The 18,255-nt window shown below is 47.4% G+C and overlaps 1 protein-coding gene and 1 pseudogene across 4 annotated transcripts, besides 3 other annotated features; both read left to right on the plus strand.

Moving 5' to 3' along the window:
* Positions 1–9,954, plus strand: EIF2B5 (eukaryotic translation initiation factor 2B subunit epsilon). Of its 4 annotated transcripts, NM_003907.3 has the most exons (16): positions 1–223; positions 1,255–1,379; positions 2,263–2,448; positions 2,541–2,718; positions 2,809–2,889; positions 4,723–4,800; positions 5,061–5,373; positions 6,568–6,713; positions 6,880–7,021; positions 7,145–7,246; positions 7,422–7,529; positions 7,695–7,785; positions 8,085–8,208; positions 8,742–8,867; positions 9,240–9,350; positions 9,527–9,954. In NM_003907.3, the coding sequence occupies exons 1-16, from the start codon at positions 29–31 to the stop codon at positions 9,584–9,586; spliced, it is 2,166 nt and encodes a 721-aa protein (NP_003898.2). In that variant the 5' UTR covers positions 1–28; the 3' UTR covers positions 9,587–9,954. The 4 variants fall into 4 exon arrangements, with proteins under 4 accessions (NP_003898.2, XP_047305104.1, XP_011511567.1 ...); XM_011513265.1 differs by lacking the exons at positions 1–223; positions 1,255–1,379; positions 2,263–2,448; positions 2,541–2,718; positions 2,809–2,889 and adding an exon at positions 3,539–3,582; XM_047449148.1 differs by lacking the exons at positions 7,695–7,785; positions 8,085–8,208; positions 8,742–8,867; positions 9,240–9,350; positions 9,527–9,954 and having other exon boundaries at positions 6,880–7,037.
* Positions 101–210: a silencer, noted in NCBI's record as "silent region_14954". NCBI's record gives its function as "represses an Ori minimal core promoter by ATAC-STARR-seq in GM12878 lymphoblastoid cells {active_cell/tissue: GM12878}" and the evidence as "EXISTENCE:reporter gene assay evidence [ECO:0000049][PMID:35858748]".
* Positions 281–350: an enhancer, noted in NCBI's record as "active region_20902". NCBI's record gives its function as "activates an Ori minimal core promoter by ATAC-STARR-seq in GM12878 lymphoblastoid cells {active_cell/tissue: GM12878}" and the evidence as "EXISTENCE:reporter gene assay evidence [ECO:0000049][PMID:35858748]".
* Positions 9,985–10,034: a silencer, noted in NCBI's record as "silent region_14955". NCBI's record gives its function as "represses an Ori minimal core promoter by ATAC-STARR-seq in GM12878 lymphoblastoid cells {active_cell/tissue: GM12878}" and the evidence as "EXISTENCE:reporter gene assay evidence [ECO:0000049][PMID:35858748]".
* RPS3P3 (ribosomal protein S3 pseudogene 3) lies at positions 14,317–15,086 on the plus strand (annotated as a pseudogene).

An 18,255-nucleotide genomic window follows, 5' to 3' on the forward strand; every position in this document is an offset into this window, starting at 1 on the left:
GCGGAAGTGGTGACCGTGAGAGAAGAAGATGGCGGCCCCTGTAGTGGCGCCGCCTGGTGTGGTGGTTAGTCGGGCTAACAAGCGCAGCGGCGCGGGGCCGGGAGGCAGCGGTGGCGGGGGAGCCAGAGGGGCGGAGGAGGAACCGCCGCCGCCCCTACAAGCAGTTCTGGTGGCCGATAGCTTCGATCGCCGCTTCTTCCCCATCTCCAAGGACCAGCCTCGGGTGAGCGCCGCGCACGCGAGCAGCCAGAGGGCAGGAAGGGTGGCAGGGCTGGAGCAAGTTCTCATTTCGGCTAACTACAACAGCATGCCCTTGAAGGACCTGCGTCTATGCTGTTATCCTAAAACCGGATGCAGAGGGACTGTCTAAACCCTGATGACTGCTGACCAAGTTAGTGGCCGGCAGATTTGGGCATTCGTAATGCTGTCCACCTCGGGTTTGAAAGGAATGAAGAGAGCTAAATGTAGAAACAGCGCTTGAGAGAAGCCTTCACGCGGGGATTCAGTGCCCCTAGAAGAGGCTGCGCCGCTTTTAACCTTGCCGATGACGGTTGCTTAGGTGAAAAGAAACGACCTTTTGCCTCTGAAAGGGCGGTAATATGCCTTAAAAAGAGCGGGCTAGATCTCAGGCAGTGTATTTTTTTTTTCCTTCCAGGTTCTAATGATAGCCGGTGCTATCTGTCGAAAGGACAAAATGGGTTTAGTGGTTGATTGCCATCAGCCCCCGAGTTGTCTAGACAATGGGGTATTGGACTCAGCTGGGTCGTTCAGCAGTCAGTTCAGAAAGAGGGAACTGCATTGGATTTAAGGAAAATCCTCTCTAATTCCCTCGAAAAAGCCTAATGGCTGTTCATTTTTGACAAGTGACGGGAGATGGCTAACCTCTGACACTTAGAAAGGGATCAAGGAAGGAAATCTTATGGGGAAGAAGGCCTTAGCAATGCTTAAATTTATGGAAATATGATTGATTTCCAGTATTATCCTTTGCCAGCAGTGAACTGCCATTCTGTCACAGCTCTGTGTCTGATACAAGGCACATAGATTCTGTACTTACCATCCCCAAATTGCAATGTCTCAGACTCAGGCTTAGAGCATGGCATGAACATCAAAGGCAGGAACCTGTTTATCTTTGAATTGGAAAGATACAGCAAAATTACACTGTTTGGAAATACGAATAGAGGAGTGAAAATTGTTGCAGTGGGGTACCCAAAGGGATTCGAGACCTCAAGTTTTTTTTCATCTTGTATCCTTCAGGTCCTCTTGCCCCTGGCCAATGTGGCATTAATTGACTACACTCTGGAATTCCTGACTGCCACAGGTGTACAGGAAACATTTGTCTTTTGTTGCTGGAAAGCTGCTCAAATCAAAGAACATTTACTGTAAGGCCCTGCAACTTTTCTTTCCATGTTTCGCCATCTTTTTCCAGTTTTTTCAGGATGAATGTAACTAAGGGGAAATGTGAGAGGGGAAAAATGTGTCTACTTAGATGTCATTGTAAGTTCTAAGGGTATTTTCTACACTTATCAGGAGGTGAGCAGCTGAAACTTTGTATCTGTCTGTCTTGGGTTTTCTGTGACAAAGATTAAAGAATAAACTTGGGTTTTTTCTGAATCTCATTATAAAGTTTGGTGCCAGTGGACTTTGCTTTTATTTAATGGCTTCAGTATGGAAGTTACAATGATAACATCTTTGTTTTCCCACTGAGTTTCTAAATCTTGTTTGTTCTCACCTTCAAGGATATAAATGAGCTCCTTGTCATCTTTGTATTCCCACTGCCTAGCTCAGTCCCAAGCATATAGTGAGCACTTACATGTTTGTTGAAATCTTGAAAACTAGGGAATCGCATTGCTTATGGAAGTCCAGGATGTAAAGACTAGGACATTAGCATGGTCTCCATCAGACAGTTCCTAAATGTTATATGGATTGCAGAAGGGGAAAGCTGACGTGAAGCGTGTTCCCAGGCTACTTTGTGTACCCTAGGCTTCAGCAGGATTTTGAGTTCAAATTGATGTTTAGGGACAAGGGGTCAAGGTATGGAGAGGAAATAACCATGTTTCCTAACCCATAAAACAAGACTGGTGACACAGGATGCTGAAAGCATTCATTATAGTTCATAATACTCTTTGAAGTTGAAGACGCTGGCAAGAACCCAAAAAAGCCATCGAGAAGGACTGTGAGTGCTGAAAGGGGGTGAAAAATGGGGAAGGCTCAAATGATCTTTATGCTTGATACACTCATTCCCCTCACCCTCCCTTCCTTTAGGAAGTCAAAGTGGTGCCGCCCTACATCTCTCAATGTGGTTCGAATAATTACATCAGAGCTCTATCGATCACTGGGAGATGTCCTCCGTGATGTTGATGCCAAGGCTTTGGTGCGCTCTGACTTTCTTCTGGTGTATGGGGATGTCATCTCAAACATCAATATCACCAGAGCCCTTGAGGAACACAGGTCAGGATGGGAAAATGACAGGAACAAGGGTTAAAGACCAGCAGAGCCCTGAGACTGCTTTTTTGCAGTTCTGTCCCTCCTGTCCTTTATAGGTTGAGACGGAAGCTAGAAAAAAATGTTTCTGTGATGACGATGATCTTCAAGGAGTCATCCCCCAGCCACCCAACTCGTTGCCACGAAGACAATGTGGTAGTGGCTGTGGATAGTACCACAAACAGGGTTCTCCATTTTCAGAAGACCCAGGGTCTCCGGCGTTTTGCATTTCCTCTGGTGTGTGGATATCTGGGGTCCTTTGAGATGGGGAAGTGACAGGCTTCAGTGGGAGAAACAAATTAAAGTCCTTGTAACTTCTCCCCACAGAGCCTGTTTCAGGGCAGTAGTGATGGAGTGGAGGTTCGATATGATTTACTGGATTGTCATATCAGCATCTGTTCTCCTCAGGTGAGCTCTTTAGGGCTGGGGCTGCACACCCAAAGAGTAGAACTCTGTGGGTCTGTTATTGTCCCCTTAGAAGGCCAGGGTATATTTCTTCTCCCTGTTTATTTTCATTATTTTTACTTTTATTTTTTGAGACAGAGTCTCGCTCTGTTGCCCAGGCTGGAGTGCAGTGGTGTGATCCCAGCTCACTGCAGACTCTGCCTCCTAGGTTCAAGTGATTCTCCTGCCTCAGCCTCCTGAGTAGCAGGGATTACAGGCACACCACCATGCCTGGCTAATTTTTGTATTTTTAGTAGAGATGGGGTTTCACCATGTTGGCCAGGCTGGTCTCGAACTCCTGGTCTCAAGTGATCTACCTGTCTCAGCCTCCCAAAGTGCTGGGATTACAGGCATGAGCCACCACACCTGGCCTTATTTTCATTTTTATTTATATATATTTTTTGAGACAGGGTCTCGCTCTGTGGCCCAGGCTGGAGCACAGTGGCACCATGACTGCTCACTGCAGCCTCAGCCTCCCAGGTTCAAGGGAACCTCCTGCCTCAGCCTCCTGAGTAGATGGAACCACAGGCATGCACTACCACTAATTTTTGTATTTTTTTGTAGAGACGGGGTTTTGCCATGTTGTCCGGCCTGGTCACGAACTCCTGAGCTCAAGCAATCTGACCACCTCAGCCTTCCAAAATGCTGGGATTACAGGCATGAGCCACCAGTTTTTTTTGTTGTTGTTGTTGTTATTGTTGTTTTGAGATGGAGCCTCGCTCTGTCGCCCAGGCTGGAGTGCAGTGGCATGATCTCAGCTTACTGCAGCCTCCACCTCCTGGGTTCCAGTGATTCTCCTGCCTCAGCCTCTCAAGTAGCTGGGACTACAGGTACGCACCACCACATCCGGCTATTTTTTGTATTTTTCAGTAGAGATGGGGTTTCACCATATTGGCCAGGCTGGTCTCTAACTCCTGACCTCAGGTGATCCTCCCGCCTTGGCCTCCCAAAGTGCTGCAATCACAGGTGTGAGCCTCTGCACCCAGCATTTTTTTTTTTTTTTTTTTTTTTTTTTTGAGTCGGAGTTTCACTCTTGTTGCCCAGGCTGGATGCAATGGTGCGATCTCAGCTCACTGCAACCTCCACCTCCCAGGTTCAAGCAATTCCCCTGCCTCAGCCTCCCAAATAGCTGGGATTGCAGGCATGTGCCACCACACCCAGCTAATTTTTGTATTTTTAGTAGAGACGAGGTTTTACCATGTTGGTCAGGCTGGTCTCGAACTCCCAACCTCAGGTGATCTGCCTGCCTCGGCCTCCCAAAGTGCTGGCATTACGGGCATGAGCCACTGCACCTGGCCTTTTTTTTTTTTTTAGAATCTATTGTAAAGCAAAGATCTTGTCTCCAGTATCCCACTGGGAGTCTCTTTGGAATTCTGGTCCATGTTCAGCTGTCATAGGGTTTGCTAGGTCTCTGGGGGATTATCTGTGCTCCTAGAGAATAGTACTTAATCCTGGCCAAGCGTGGTGGCTCACGCTTGTAATCCCAGCACTTTGGGAGGCCGAGGTGAGTGGATCATGAGGTCAGGAGTTCAAGACCAGCCTGACCAACACAGTGAAATCCCATCTCTACTAAAAAATAAAAATACAAAAATTAGCTGGGCGTGGTGGCGGACGCTTGTAATCCCAGCTACTTGGGAGGCTGAGGCACAAGAATCACTTTAACCCAGGAGGTGGAGGTTGCAGTGAGCCGAGATCATGCAACTGCACTCCAGCCTGGGCAACAGAGCTAGACTTGTCTCAAAAAAAAAAAAAAAAGAATAGTACTTAATTCTAGCCCACTCCACTTCCCTTCCACAGGTGGCACAACTCTTTACAGACAACTTTGACTACCAAACTCGAGATGACTTTGTGCGAGGTCTCTTAGTGAATGAGGAGGTGAGAAAAGTCTTCCAATGCCTCTTTAGGAGAGAGGAGAAGGCTATGATTGTATCTCATGCTGGTAACTTTTGATCTTTTTTGTATTTTATTGAGGCTTAGGAGGGAGGAAAAGCAGGGGACAGGAGGAACAGTACACAAAGAAGAATCTTTGTGGCAGTGAGAGGCAGAGGGGAACTTAAAAGGATTAGAAAAGTTGTACTTGGGGGCATTCTTCCTGTCTTTCTTGCTTAGGTGACCTCCCTTTCCTTCTCATTCAGATCCTAGGGAACCAGATCCACATGCACGTAACAGCTAAGGAATATGGTGCCCGTGTCTCCAACCTACACATGTACTCAGCTGTCTGTGCTGACGTCATCCGCCGATGGGTCTACCCTCTCACCCCAGAGGCGAACTTCACTGACAGCACCACCCAGAGCTGCACTCATTCCCGGCACAACATCTACCGAGGGCCTGAGGTCAGCCTGGGCCATGGCAGCATCCTAGAGGAAAATGTGCTCCTGGGCTCTGGCACTGTCATTGGCAGCAATTGCTTTATCACCAACAGTGTCATTGGCCCCGGCTGCCACATTGGTGAGCACAGGTGGGGAATCAAGCCAACTATCCTAGGAACAGGAACCTGGGGGGGCCACGTCTCCAGAAACACAAGGGATGGCTACACAAGGGACAGTCCCTGGGAATAAGGAACTATAGAGCGGCTACCTCAGGAAAGGAGGAAACAGGGATTTGAAAACAGCGATACCTTAATTTGTAGCCTGTGGGCCTCTCATTGGATGACTCTTCACATTCCAGGGTACCCTGTAGTCACATTCAGGAGCAAGTAGATAATTAACATGCAGTAACAACATCTATTTAGCACATTACAGTTTACAAAGGGCTTTTATATACATTGTTACATTTAATCTTCATAATTTACAAATAAACAGGCTCAACAAGATTTTCTTGCCCAAGGTCATTGGTAATAATGGTGGGACCTGAATCTGGGTATTCTGAATGTAAGTCCAGTGTTCTTTTGAGTCTACCATAACTGCCTGGTTGGCCTCTTGGTATCTCATTTTGGTTGCAGGAGTGTGATGCGTCTAATAGTACTGCCCCTTTCCAAGAACAACAGTAAGGCTCAGATTCTAGGGGCTGAGCGTGGTGGCTCATGCTTGTAATCCTAGCACACTGGGAAGCCATGGTGGGAGGATCGCTTGAGCCCAGGAGTTCAAGACCAGCCTGGGCAACATAGCGACACCCCTTCTCCACAAATGATACAAAAATTAGCTGGGCATGATGGCGCGTGCCTGTAATCTCAGCTATTCGGGAGGCTGAGGCAGGAGGATTACCTGAGCCCAGAGGTCGAGGGTGCAGTGAGTCATGATCATACTACTGCACTCCAGCCTGGGTGATGGAATGAGACCGTGTCTCAAAAGAAAAAAAAGACTTGGTTTCTAAAATGTACCAGAAGAGGTGGAATTATTTGGTTCTGCTTGTAGGCGTGGATATGATTCTAATAAGGTTTTTTGAGTTCAGAGGGTCCCCAGAAATCCTGAAGGTTCTCGGGTTCTTAAGCTCTGTGTGTAGTCTATAATTGTTGTAAACTTGGTGAAGTATCTTCTCAGGCCTGGGCTTAGGGGGTGAGTGGGTGTTTCTGGTGACTTGCGGGATGGGGAATGAGAGCTAGGTGGGAGCTGTGCTGGTGTCAGTCAGCCCTGTCCTCTATGAAGGGCTCTGCTCTGCGGTTGGAACCCTGAGTTACCCAGAGGTCTTCCCATCCTGAGCCAGGTGATAACGTGGTGCTGGACCAGACCTACCTGTGGCAGGGTGTTCGAGTGGCGGCTGGAGCACAGATCCATCAGTCTCTGCTTTGTGACAATGCTGAGGTCAAGGAACGAGTGACACTGAAACCACGCTCTGTCCTCACTTCCCAGGTGAGACCTGATCTATACTGTGCACAGGCCCTGAATTGCATGGCAGTCACACTGAGCCAGAAGGGGCATTATTTCCACCCATAATCCTGTCTAAAAAAGTTGCTCTCATTATCAGGATGCACTTTTCCTCCACACCCTAATGGTTCTGTGTTTTTTTTCCCCTTAGGTGGTCGTGGGCCCAAATATCACGCTGCCTGAGGGCTCGGTGATCTCTTTGCACCCTCCAGATGCAGAGGAAGATGAAGATGATGGCGAGTTCAGTGATGATTCTGGGGCTGACCAAGAAAAGGACAAAGTGAAGATGAAAGGTGTGAGACTCAACAGGTGTGGGGCATCTGTGTGTCTCGCTGCCTCATAGAAGAACCAGTGTTTCCTCCTGGAGGGATTGGTGCTTCCGCCGGGCCCTCTCTATAGATCATTGCCTTTTCCAGGTTACAATCCAGCAGAAGTAGGAGCTGCTGGCAAGGGCTACCTCTGGAAAGCTGCAGGCATGAACATGGAGGAAGAGGAGGAACTGCAGCAGAATCTGTGGGGTGAGCTAGGCCTGATGCCTGCCCTTCTCCTCCTGAATCGGAATATTTTGAAGGATAATGAATACTTCAGAGTCACATTACTTATTCACTCCTTTATTCAGGCAGACAGGGCAGGTATATTGCTCTCTGTCAATGACTCTTTTTTTCTTTTTCCTCACCCATTATGGCTTCTCAGGACTCAAGATCAACATGGAAGAAGAGAGTGAAAGTGAAAGTGAGCAAAGTATGGATTCTGAGGAGCCGGACAGCCGGGGAGGCTCCCCTCAGATGGATGACATCAAAGGTGAGTGGCAGGGGAGAAATGCGCTGGACCAGTTTATTCTCTGCCTGGATCAACTAGCCAGAGGCTTACGTTCCTCAGAAAGGGTTTGGTATCGAGTCAAGACTAGATGACTTAGAGCATTCTGAATGATGTTGGCCCATGAACTTATCCTTGCTTTGATTTCAGTGTTCCAGAATGAAGTTTTAGGAACACTACAGCGGGGCAAAGAGGAGAACATTTCTTGTGACAATCTCGTCCTGGAAATCAACTCTCTCAAGTAAGAGCAGCCCCTCCCTGTTCTCCTCGGGGTGATCCCGGGAAGGTAGAGGCTTTCTCGTAAGTGTTTTGTCTCCAAATAGGAACCTATTCCTTCGACATCCCAAATGGAAAGACCAGTAGTATTTGGAGCAAGGAGAGCATTATTAAGTTCTAGCCTCAGCATAGACTTTCTCCTTCCTAAACCCTCCCCTTCCATATTGTTCCATCCAGATTCCTCTCCAATGTCTATCAAAGTCATAGTTCTAAGCCTGCTGAAAGGCCAGTGAAGGCCCTGGTGTCACCCCAGTCTCCCCACAGGTATGCCTATAACATAAGTCTAAAGGAGGTGATGCAGGTACTGAGCCACGTGGTCCTGGAGTTCCCCCTGCAACAGATGGATTCCCCGCTTGACTCAAGCCGCTACTGTGCCCTGCTGCTTCCTGTGAGCAAAGATTGGAGCTGAGTACAAGGGATTGGGTACAGGCAAAGGAAATCAGGAGTAGACTGTCTTGTTATATTGGGTGTATGTCACTTCTGGTTCCTTTTTCCTTGCCTCTGGAAGCTGGTTGGGCTCTAGAGCAGCCTTGGCTGGTTCAGAGGGGTCAGATTGAGTTCAATACTGACTGGCCTTTGAGACTCCAGGATTTCATACCATCCTAGGCCCACAAAGGTATATTCAGAATGGACCTGGACATTCAGACTCTATGGCAGCAATTTGACCCAACACAAGATCAGCCTCTGGGGTGGGAATAGGTATTTTGAGGCAGCCTATAGCATCTGATCCCCTTTCACCTTCCCTAAGGAATCTCTTTTTCCCAAACCCTGTCAACAACTCCCAAGTCCCTCTGACATAATTCCACAGAACCTGTATCATCTCCCTTTTGTCCACCCATGTCATCAGTATGGATTTGCTTGGATGTCCAGGTATAGGTGAATGCTTAGGAATATACTGCAGCTCCCTTCTTTCTTCCATAGCTGCTAAAGGCCTGGAGCCCTGTTTTTAGGAACTACATAAAGCGCGCAGCCGACCATTTGGAAGCGTTAGCAGCCATTGAGGACTTCTTCCTAGAGCATGAAGCTCTTGGTATTTCCATGGCCAAGGTGAATATGACCTCAAGCCCCATTCTTCTGCACTTGCTTTCAAACGAGGGTTGGTGACCCCCTTGGGAGACATAAAATAGAAGCTAATGTGAATCCAGTATGGACCATCCACTCCCAATATGCTTATTGCTAGAATAGTACAGCTTGGAGCCGGACTAATAAGGTAGCCATCTGGGGGGTGGTCTGGAAATGTGCAAAGCTCTCCCCAGCAATAGTTCCAGAAGTTAGACCTGCCCCAGGAGCAGAGCGAACAGCTCACTCTTGTCCGTTTTGGAGGAGGCTACTCAGTGCATAGAGGGATCTGAGGGCCTGGTAGAGTATCCTGCTGGACTTTCCAAGGCCCCTGAGGTCCCCTTTATTGGCCTTTTGCAGGTACTGATGGCTTTCTACCAGCTGGAGATCCTGGCTGAGGAAACAATTCTGAGCTGGTTCAGCCAAAGAGATACAACTGACAAGGGCCAGCAGTTGCGCAAGAATCAACAGGTGCGTCAGGCTGTCCTCCTCTCGCCAAGATGGTTATCTCATTCCCAGGTCCTGGCCCCTAGACTCTAGGGTGGTTGGTTTCTGGGGCTCTGGTTGTTAGAGCTGTTTATCTGCCGAGGGGAGCAGGAGAGTTATGTGCACCTCCCCCAGCCGATCTCTCCTCTGCTTCTTTACAGCTGCAGAGGTTCATCCAGTGGCTAAAAGAGGCAGAAGAGGAGTCATCTGAAGATGACTGAAGTCACACTGCCTGCTCCTTTGGGTGTGATTGAGTGCCCTCCTGGCTCCTGGGCTGGGACAAGTGAGGAACTAGCTGCAGAGGGATGAGTGACCACCATCCAGGCTGAGACTGAAAGGAGCAGAGGCTGGAACTACAGTATTCTTTCCCCTGCTAGCAACCATGTGCCTCCCATCCTGACTGTGGAGTTGGGATGTGGAAGTGGGGCTGGAACAAAGCTTCTGCCTAGGGAGGAGCTAAGCAGGCCCGGCAGTTGGAGGAAGGCCAGAGGAACAGCTTTGTGCTCCGGCTTTCCCTCAGGGAACAGCAGAGAGCAGTTGGCTCTTTCTGCTGCTTGTATATGTTAATATTAAAAGAGAGAGTGGTGTATTTGGTTTGTCTCCATCCCTGACTAATCAGCCAGTGAAGTATGTGACCAGAATCACATGATAGCCTTTCCTTAACACCTGGGGGAGAGGGAGGACGGGTGTGCCAGCCACTAGGTGGTACTGTGGTACCTTGCTAATTAACCTTTCCCATGGCTCATGGGTAGTGGAGGGCGGAGGTTCTTTTCCAGCCTCTGTGGACCAACTTGTGATCCTGGGGTGGTGTGCCTAAGCCCGTTTCCATAGAGTCCCATTTTGAACACTTTTCTGCCAGAGGATTATGTTGCCAACCATATGTAAAGCCCATTAGACATGCCAGTTCCTTTCACATGCCTTTTCCAGTTGATCTGGTACTCGTTCTGTCAGGAAGCTGGGCCACGCTTCATCAGAAATAAGGAAATCAGCTCAAGGTCACATGACTCTTGAGGGGTAAAGCTAAGGACTTGACCCTCAGAATCCAGAACTCTGTCCTTCAGCGTATTGTGTTTCAGTGAAGGGAAAATTGGCCCCACAGACAAATATAACCCAGAGCCAGTAATGGAGGTCCCAAGAACACAGGAAGGCCATGTGAAGGGTGCTTTCCCTTGAGAGTGTTTACTATGTGACAGGCAAGCAGTTTTCACATATTGTTTCATTTAATCCTCACATGAGCCCCATGAAGTCTTATCCCCATTTTCAGATAAGGTGCCTGAAGCTCACAGAGCTTCCCTAGCTAGTAACTGACAGAGCCAGGTGTGATATTGGACTCTTGACCTGGAGCTTGTTACTTTGCTGTATTGCTTTAACCTTAACCAAAAGAGACATGCCTTTCTGTCTTTTCTTTTTGAGTTCCTTGTCTTCATATAGAGTGAGTCAACAATTCTGGCCGCGTGCAGTGGCTCACGCCTGTAATCCCAGCACCTTGGGAGGCTGAGGCAGGCGGATCACCTGAGGCGAAGAGTTCGAGACCAACATAGCGAAACCCCATCTCTACAAAAATACAAAAATTAGCTGGGCATTGTGGCAGGCGCCTGAAATCCCAGCTACTCAGGAGGCTGAAGCAGGGAGAATTGCTTGAACCTGGGAGGCGGAGGTTGCAGTGAGCCGAGATTGTGCCACTGCACTCCAGCCTTGGTGATGGAGCGAGACCCTGCCTCAAAACAATATAATAATAATAATTTCCTTTAGTGGTACTTAAACGGTGGCTAATGTGACTGTTGTAACAAGTGATGCTCTACCCCCCCATCCCTACCGTCCCAGATGTTACAGAACAAATGGTTGCCTTTATTCATTTTAGTTGGATAGAAAGACATAAACTGGCCTAGGCGCGGTGGCTTACGCCTGTAATCCCAGCACTTTGGGAGGCTGAGGTGGGCAGATCAGCTGAGGTCAGGAGTCTGAGACAAGCCTGGCCAACATGGTGAAACCCTGTCTCTACTAAAAATACAAAAATTAGCCAGGCGTGGTGGTGGGTGCCTGTAATCTCAGCCGCTCGGGAGGCTGAGGCAGGAGAATCGCTTGAACCCAAGAGACGGAGGTTGCAGTGAGCTGAGATCACACTATTGCATTCCAGCCTGGGCGACAAGTGAAACTCTGTCTCAAAAAAAAGGATATAAACTGAGGATGGGCTGACTGAAGTCAGCTTGTGGGTATGAAGGCATCACTGGAAAAGGAAAAGACAGGCTGGCCAGGGTTTGGCTTAATTTTCTAGTAAATCTCAGTTTCTGTCTTGTTAGGTATAGGATCTAGTGTCTAGTATGAAGATTCTGGCATTATGGCATGGACCTAGTACAGTGAGACATCCCTGTATCTGTACTGAATGTATAGCAGAAATCAGAAGTAGTCTACAGAGCTTTTTCAGAAAGAGAGATTACTTCCAGTTAGGGTGATTAGGGAAGGCTTTACAGAAATTTGATGCTGGAGTGGCCTAAAAAATAGAAGAGGCTGGAAGCATGCATTAAAAGCAAAACAAAAACTTTCCAGTTAAATACGGAAAATTAAACACATGAGCCTTTATGCCCCCTCCAAAAATTCTATTGAAATACCAGTAAAGGAATTATTTTAAAAAGGCACGTGCTGGCTGGGCTCAGTGGCTCACACCTGTAATCCCAGCACTTTGGGAGGCCGAGGCAGGTGAATCACCTGAGGTCAGGAGTTCAAGACCACCCTGGCCAACATAGTGGACCCCCGTCTCTATTAAAAATACAAAAAAGCCAGGCGTGGTAGCTTATGCCTGTAATCCCAGCACTTTGGGAGGTCAAGGTGGGTGGATCCCCTGAGGTCAGGAGTTCGAGACCAGCCTGGCCAACATGATGAAACCCCCATCTCTACTAAAAATAGAAAAATTAGCTGGGCCTGGTGGCAGGTGCCTGTAATCCCAGCTACTCAGGAGGCTGAGGAAGGAGAATCGCTTGAATCTGGGAGGTGGAGGTTGCAGTGAGCCGAGATCGCGCCATTGCACTCCAGCCTGGGGGACAAGAGCGAGACTTCATCTCAAAAAAAAAACCAAAAAACACAAAAGTTTAGCCGGGCATGGTGGGGGGCACCTGTAATCCCAGCTACTCAGGAGGCTGAGGAAGGAGAATTGCTTGAACCCAGGAGGCGGAGGTTGCAGTGAGCCGAGATCATGCCATTGCACTCCAACCTGGGTGACAAGAGCGAAACTCTCAAAAAATATAATAATAAAGCCACATGACCCAGTGATAAGGAAAATAGGAGGTGACAATGAATGAGAGATGCCAACATTTTGGAAGATGAAAAACAGAACAGTCAACAGTCACTTAACAGAGTAGAATGAGTTGGGTTCTACCTGCTGAGGGAGTTAATGGCAAGAAGTAAGCCAATGTGCCCTTCTGAACCCATAAAAGGTTCAGCACCTCAGAGGAGGGTATGGACTGACGCTGAGAACTAGGGGTGGGGTGGAAGGAGATTACACGATGATCTGTATAAGAAAAAGCCCCACCAAGTCCCAACCTCATCTGATCCAGCCAAGTGATTACCCCTACTCCCTTGCATAAAATGGGAGATTCCGTCTCTGGAGAAATGGTAGGGAGGAAGTTAGCAAAGATAGACTTAAGGTTTCCTAAGCCCAAAGGTCACAAGTTTCCAGACCAACTGTCCATGAGTGCCCAGCATAATGAATGAAAAAGCCCATGAAATTTCAGAATGTCCAGGGGAACTTAAACTATCAGAGCCTCTGCATTCAGCAGCAGGCATAGTGGGGATAGAGGTGAGGTATTAGATTGAAAATGAAGAATTAAGTGAAAATATATGAGCGGTGAGACTCAACATCAGCACACACTGACAGAACCTCCAGTATGAAAAGAAACAACTGCAGGGAAAAAAATGCCTATGCATACTGACACTGACATTTTTGGTTTCTTCAACAACAAAATGTCAGCTTTCCCCCCACATGATCACCCTACAGTGAAGCCTATTCATTAATAATAAAGCTTGTAAATAGACTGAGCTTCCAATCCACTTTTTGGTATCTCACTGTTAAATATGAATAGACAGCAAAGGACCATTAAACATCTGAGTAACCTTCCAATATGAAAGACCAAAACAAACAAATAGAAAATTGAAACCAAGGAAACAATAACAAAGTAGGGAGCTTTCTGAAAACTTCATGGGGAAAAAGCTACAATAACTATTCTCAAAACTCAAAGAAAAGATATTGTGTCTATGAAGTACTTTAAAAAGGAAGAATTGGAGAAGAAAGAGTTCTTAGAAATTAAAAATAAGTAAACTAATTCCTTCTCTTGAGAATTGGAGGATTCGAGGACCAAATAGCAGGGTAACGTTTCACTGTATTTCCATTCTTACATACTTCTTGAATCTTGAATCATGAATATATTATCTATCCAAAAAAAAAAAAAAAGTAGTAAAGGATCAATCCATAAGGCCCAAAATCATCTACTGGGCTGCGGAAACAGAATAGGAAAAATCGGCTGGACGTGGTGGCTCATGCCTGTAATCCCAGCCCTTTGGGAGGCCAAGGCAGATGGATTGCTTGATGCCAGGAATTTGGGACCAGCTGGGCAACATAGCAAGATCCCATCTCGACAAAAAATTTTAAATTATCAGCCAAGGGTGGTGGTGTGTGCCTGTAGTCCCAGCTACTCGGGAGACTGAGGTGGGAGGATCACTTGTGCCCAGTTCGAGGCTGCAGTGAGCTATGATCACACCACTGCACTCCAGCCAGGAAGACAGAGCAAGACCTTGCCTCCAAAAAAAAAAAAAAAAGGCTGGGTGTGATGTGACTCACACCTGTAATCCCAGCACTTTGGGAGGCCAAGGTTGGCAGAGGATAACTTAAGCCCAGGAGTTTGATACCAGACTGGCCAATGTGGTGAAACCCTGTGTCTATTAAAAATACAAAATTAGGCCTTTCCTTTCAGTGGAGCGTGGCGGCAAGATGGCTGTGCAAATTTCCAAGAAGAGGATGTTTGTCACTGATGACATCTTCAAAGCTGAACTGAATGAGTTTCTTACTCAGGAGCTGGCTGAAGATGGCTACTCTGGAGTTGAGATGCAAGTTACACCAACCAGGACAGAAATCATTATCTTAGCCACCAGAACACAGAATATTCCTGGTGAGAAGGGCTGACGGATTCGGGAACTGACTGCTATAGTTCAGAAGAGGTTTGGCTTTCCAGAGGGCAGTGTAGAGCTTTATGCTGAAAAGGTTGCCACTAGAGGTCTGTGTGCCATTGCCCAGGCAGAGTCTCTGCGTTACAAACTCCTAGGAGGGCTTGCTGTGTGGAGGGCCTGCTATGGTGTGCTGCGGTTCATCATGGAGAGTGGGGCCAAAGGCTGCAAGGTCATGGCGTCTGGGAAACTCCGAGGACAGAGGGCTAAATCCATGAAGTTTGTGGATGGCCTGACGATCCACAGTGGAGACCCTATTAACTACTACGTTGGCACTGCTGTGTGCCACGTGTTGCTCAGACAGGGTGTGCTGGGCATCAAGGTGAAGATCATGCTGCCCTGGGACCCAACTGGTAAGACTGGCCCTAAGAAGCCCCTGCCTGACCACGTGAGCATCGTGGAACCCAAAGATGAGATACTGCCCACCACCCCCATCTCAGAACAGAAGGGTGGGAAGCCAGAGCCATCTGCCATGCCCCAGCCAGTCCCTACAGCATAACAGGGTCTCCTTAGCAGCTGTATTCTGGAGTCTGGATGTTGCTCTGTAAAGACCTTTAATAAAATCTCATACAAAGACAAAAAAATATATACAAAATTAGGGCTGGGCATGGTGGCTCACACCTGTAATCCCAGCACTTTGGGAGGCTGAGGCGGGCAGATCACCTGAGGTCAGGAGTTTGAGACAATCCTGGCCAACATGGTGGAACCCTGTCTCTACTAAAAATACAAAATATTAGCTGGGCATGGTGGTGCATGCCTGTAATCCCAGCTACTCAGGAGGCTGAGGCAGGAGAATCGCCTGAGCCCAGGAGGCAGAGGTTGCAGTGAGCCGAGATAGCTCCACTGCACTCCAGCCTGGATGATAGGGTGAGACTCCTTCTCAAAAAAAAAAAAAAAGAAAAAAAAAGTTAGCCGCATGTGGTGGTGTGCACCTGTAATCCCAGCTACTCAGGAGGCTGAGGCACGAGAATCACTTGAACCCAGGAGGTGGAGATTGCAGTGAGCTGAGACCACACCACTGCACTCCAGCCTGAGTGACAGAGTGAGACTCTGTCTCAAAAAAAAAGAACATTTTAATTACCATTTTTCCGTTTTTTTTTTTCTTTTAGACTGAGTTTTGTTCTGTTGCCCAGGCTGGAGTGCAGTGATGTGGTCTCAGCTCACTGCAATCTCCACCTCCCGGGTTCACGCGATTCTCGTGCCTCAGTCTCCTGAGTAGCTGGGATTACAGGTGCTTACCACCACACACGGCTACTTTTTTGTTTGTTTGTTTTTTTGAGAAGGAGTGTCGCTGTCACCCAGGCTGGAGTGCAGTGGCGTTGGGATTACAGGCATGGACCTGGTCTTAATTCAAGAATTTATTGTTGGCTGGGTACGGTGGTTCACACCTATAATCCCAGCACTTCGATAGGATCGCTTGAGCCAAGGAGTTTGAGGCTGCAGTGAGCCATGATTACCTCACTATACTCCAACCTGAGCAACAGAGCAAGGCCTTGTCTCAATAAACAGGTAAATAAAACAAAGGAGTAAAGTATCCAGGAAACAGATTCAACACAGAGACAGGTAAAGGGAATTTTGAGGATGCAGAGAAGTCCCAGGATGACAGCTGTGCACAGGCTGAGATAGCCGGCGGTGCAGACCAGAGCAAAAGAATGGAAGGTTCCACCAAGCGTGGTGGCTCACGCCTGTAATCCCAGCACTTTGAGAGGCTAAGGCGAGCGATCACCTGAGGTCAGGAGTTCCAGATCAGCCTGGCTAACATGGTGAGACCCTGTCTCTACTAAAAATACAATATTAGCTGGGCGTGGTGGCAGGCGCCTGTAATCCCAGCTACTTGGGAGGCTGAGGCAGGAGAATCACTTGAACCTGGGAGGCAGAGGTTGCAGTGAGCCGGAATCTCGCCACTGCACTCCAGCCTGGGCGACAGAGTGAGACTCCATCTAAAAAAAAAAAAAAAAAAAGATGGAAGCCTCCAGGGAAAAATTGAACTGATGGATTATCTAATAGCTTTGACTGAATGAACAAAATGTGTATTGAGAAACTATTAGATTACATGGGAAAAACTAATGATAGGTATAATATATTAAAACAAATGAAAACACAAGGCAATGATTAAAGTCAGAGGAAACAAAAAAGTTGTAAAGGAAACGATTATAAAACACACATGAGGCCAGCGCGGTGGCTCATGCCTGTAATCACAGCACTTTGGGAGGCCAAGGCAGGTGGATCACGAGGTCAAGAGATTGAGACCATCCTGGCCAACATGGTAAAACCCTGTCTCTACTAAAAATACAAAAATGAGTTGGGCAGGTATGGTGGCACATGCCTGTAATCCCAGCTACTCGGAGGCTGAGGCAGAATTATCGCTTGAACCCGGGAGGTGGAGGTTGCAATGAGCTGAGATCACATCACTGCACTCCAGCCTGGCGACAGAGTGAGACTCCATCAAAAACAAAAACAAAAACAAAACAAAAAAAACTCCACATGACTTAGCGGTGAACATTTGCTCATAGTCAAAATAAGGTCACTACTAAGTACTATATTGACTTAGCCAAAAAGTGTGCTTTCACTATTTTAAGAGGGAAGGGTAAGGTGGAAGACAGAGAATCATCAATCAAATTTGGAAATCAATAAGCAATGTCTAAAATGTATAAATCAAGAACAAGTATTATGAGCTAAAAAAAAGTACTAAGAGTGGTAGGGAAATAGGACAAAGAATTGCTCGGGTTTTTTGTTTTGTTTTTCTCACCACTATACCAATAAGGAGGACTGCTGTTTTGTTAAAAAGCTTTTTAAGGGCCAGGCACGGTGGCTCACACCTGTAATCCCAGCACTTTGGGAGGCCGAGGCAGGCAGATCACGAGATCAGGAGATCGAGACCATCCTGGCTAACACGGTGAAACCCCATCTCTACTACAAATGTAAAAAATTAGCCAGGTGTGGTGGCAGGCACCTGTAGTCCCAGCTACTCGGGAGGCTGAGGCAGGAGAATGGCATGAACCCGGGAGGCGGAGTTCACAGTGAGCCAAGATCGTGCCACTGCACTCCAGCCTGGGCGACAGAGCAACACTCCATCTCAAAAAAAAAAAAAAAAAAAAAAAAAAAAAAAAAAAGCCGGGCGTGGTGGCTTGCGCCTGTAGTCCCAGCACTTTGGGAGGCCGAGGCAGGTGGATCACGAGTTCAGATCAAGACCATCCTGTTTAACACAGTGAAACCCCGTCTCTACTAAAAAAAACACAAAAAATTTGGCGGGCGCCTGTGGTCCCAGCTGCTCGGGAGGCTGGCGTGAACTCAAGAGGCGGAGCTTGCAGTGAGCCGAGATTGTGCCACTGCACTCCACCCTGGGCGACAGAGTGAGACTCCATCTCAAAAAAAAAAAAAAAAAAAAAAAAAAAAAGCTGTTTAAATACTATTTGACTTCCAAACATATTACTTTGATAAAAAATGTAAAGAAGGTGAAGGAAAGGGTATGAAGTGACGATATACATAAGGTGTGTGCAGGGGCTAGCAAGTGGGTTCATTTTCCTGGAGTCAAAAATTTGGCCAGGATATGAGACAAAAGGCTGTAAAAGTAGGTAGAGGTTAGATTATGGGGGGCCTTGAATAGGGATATTTGGGGGCTTTGGGGAATGTGGAAAGGTTTCTGAGTAGAAGAGGTATCTGAATGATGTTGTTA

Source organism: Homo sapiens, chromosome 3 (assembly GCF_000001405.40).
Source record: "Homo sapiens chromosome 3, GRCh38.p14 Primary Assembly".
Taxonomy (NCBI): domain Eukaryota; kingdom Metazoa; phylum Chordata; class Mammalia; order Primates; family Hominidae; genus Homo; species Homo sapiens.

What these genes read in the sequence shown, in the direction of transcription:
- EIF2B5 (NM_003907.3), top strand. Translation starts at nt 29, where the DNA reads ATGGCGGCCCCTGTAGTGGCGCCGCCTGGTGTGGTGGTTAGTCGGGCT. An exon ending in ACTGCAGCAGAATCTGTGGG is followed by an intron (nt 7,247 to 7,421) that starts GTGAGCTAGGCC and finishes ATGGCTTCTCAG; the next exon opens with GACTCAAGATCAACATGGAA. An exon ending in ACTGTGCCCTGCTGCTTCCT is followed by an intron (nt 8,209 to 8,741) that starts GTGAGCAAAGAT and finishes TTTCTTCCATAG; the next exon opens with CTGCTAAAGGCCTGGAGCCC.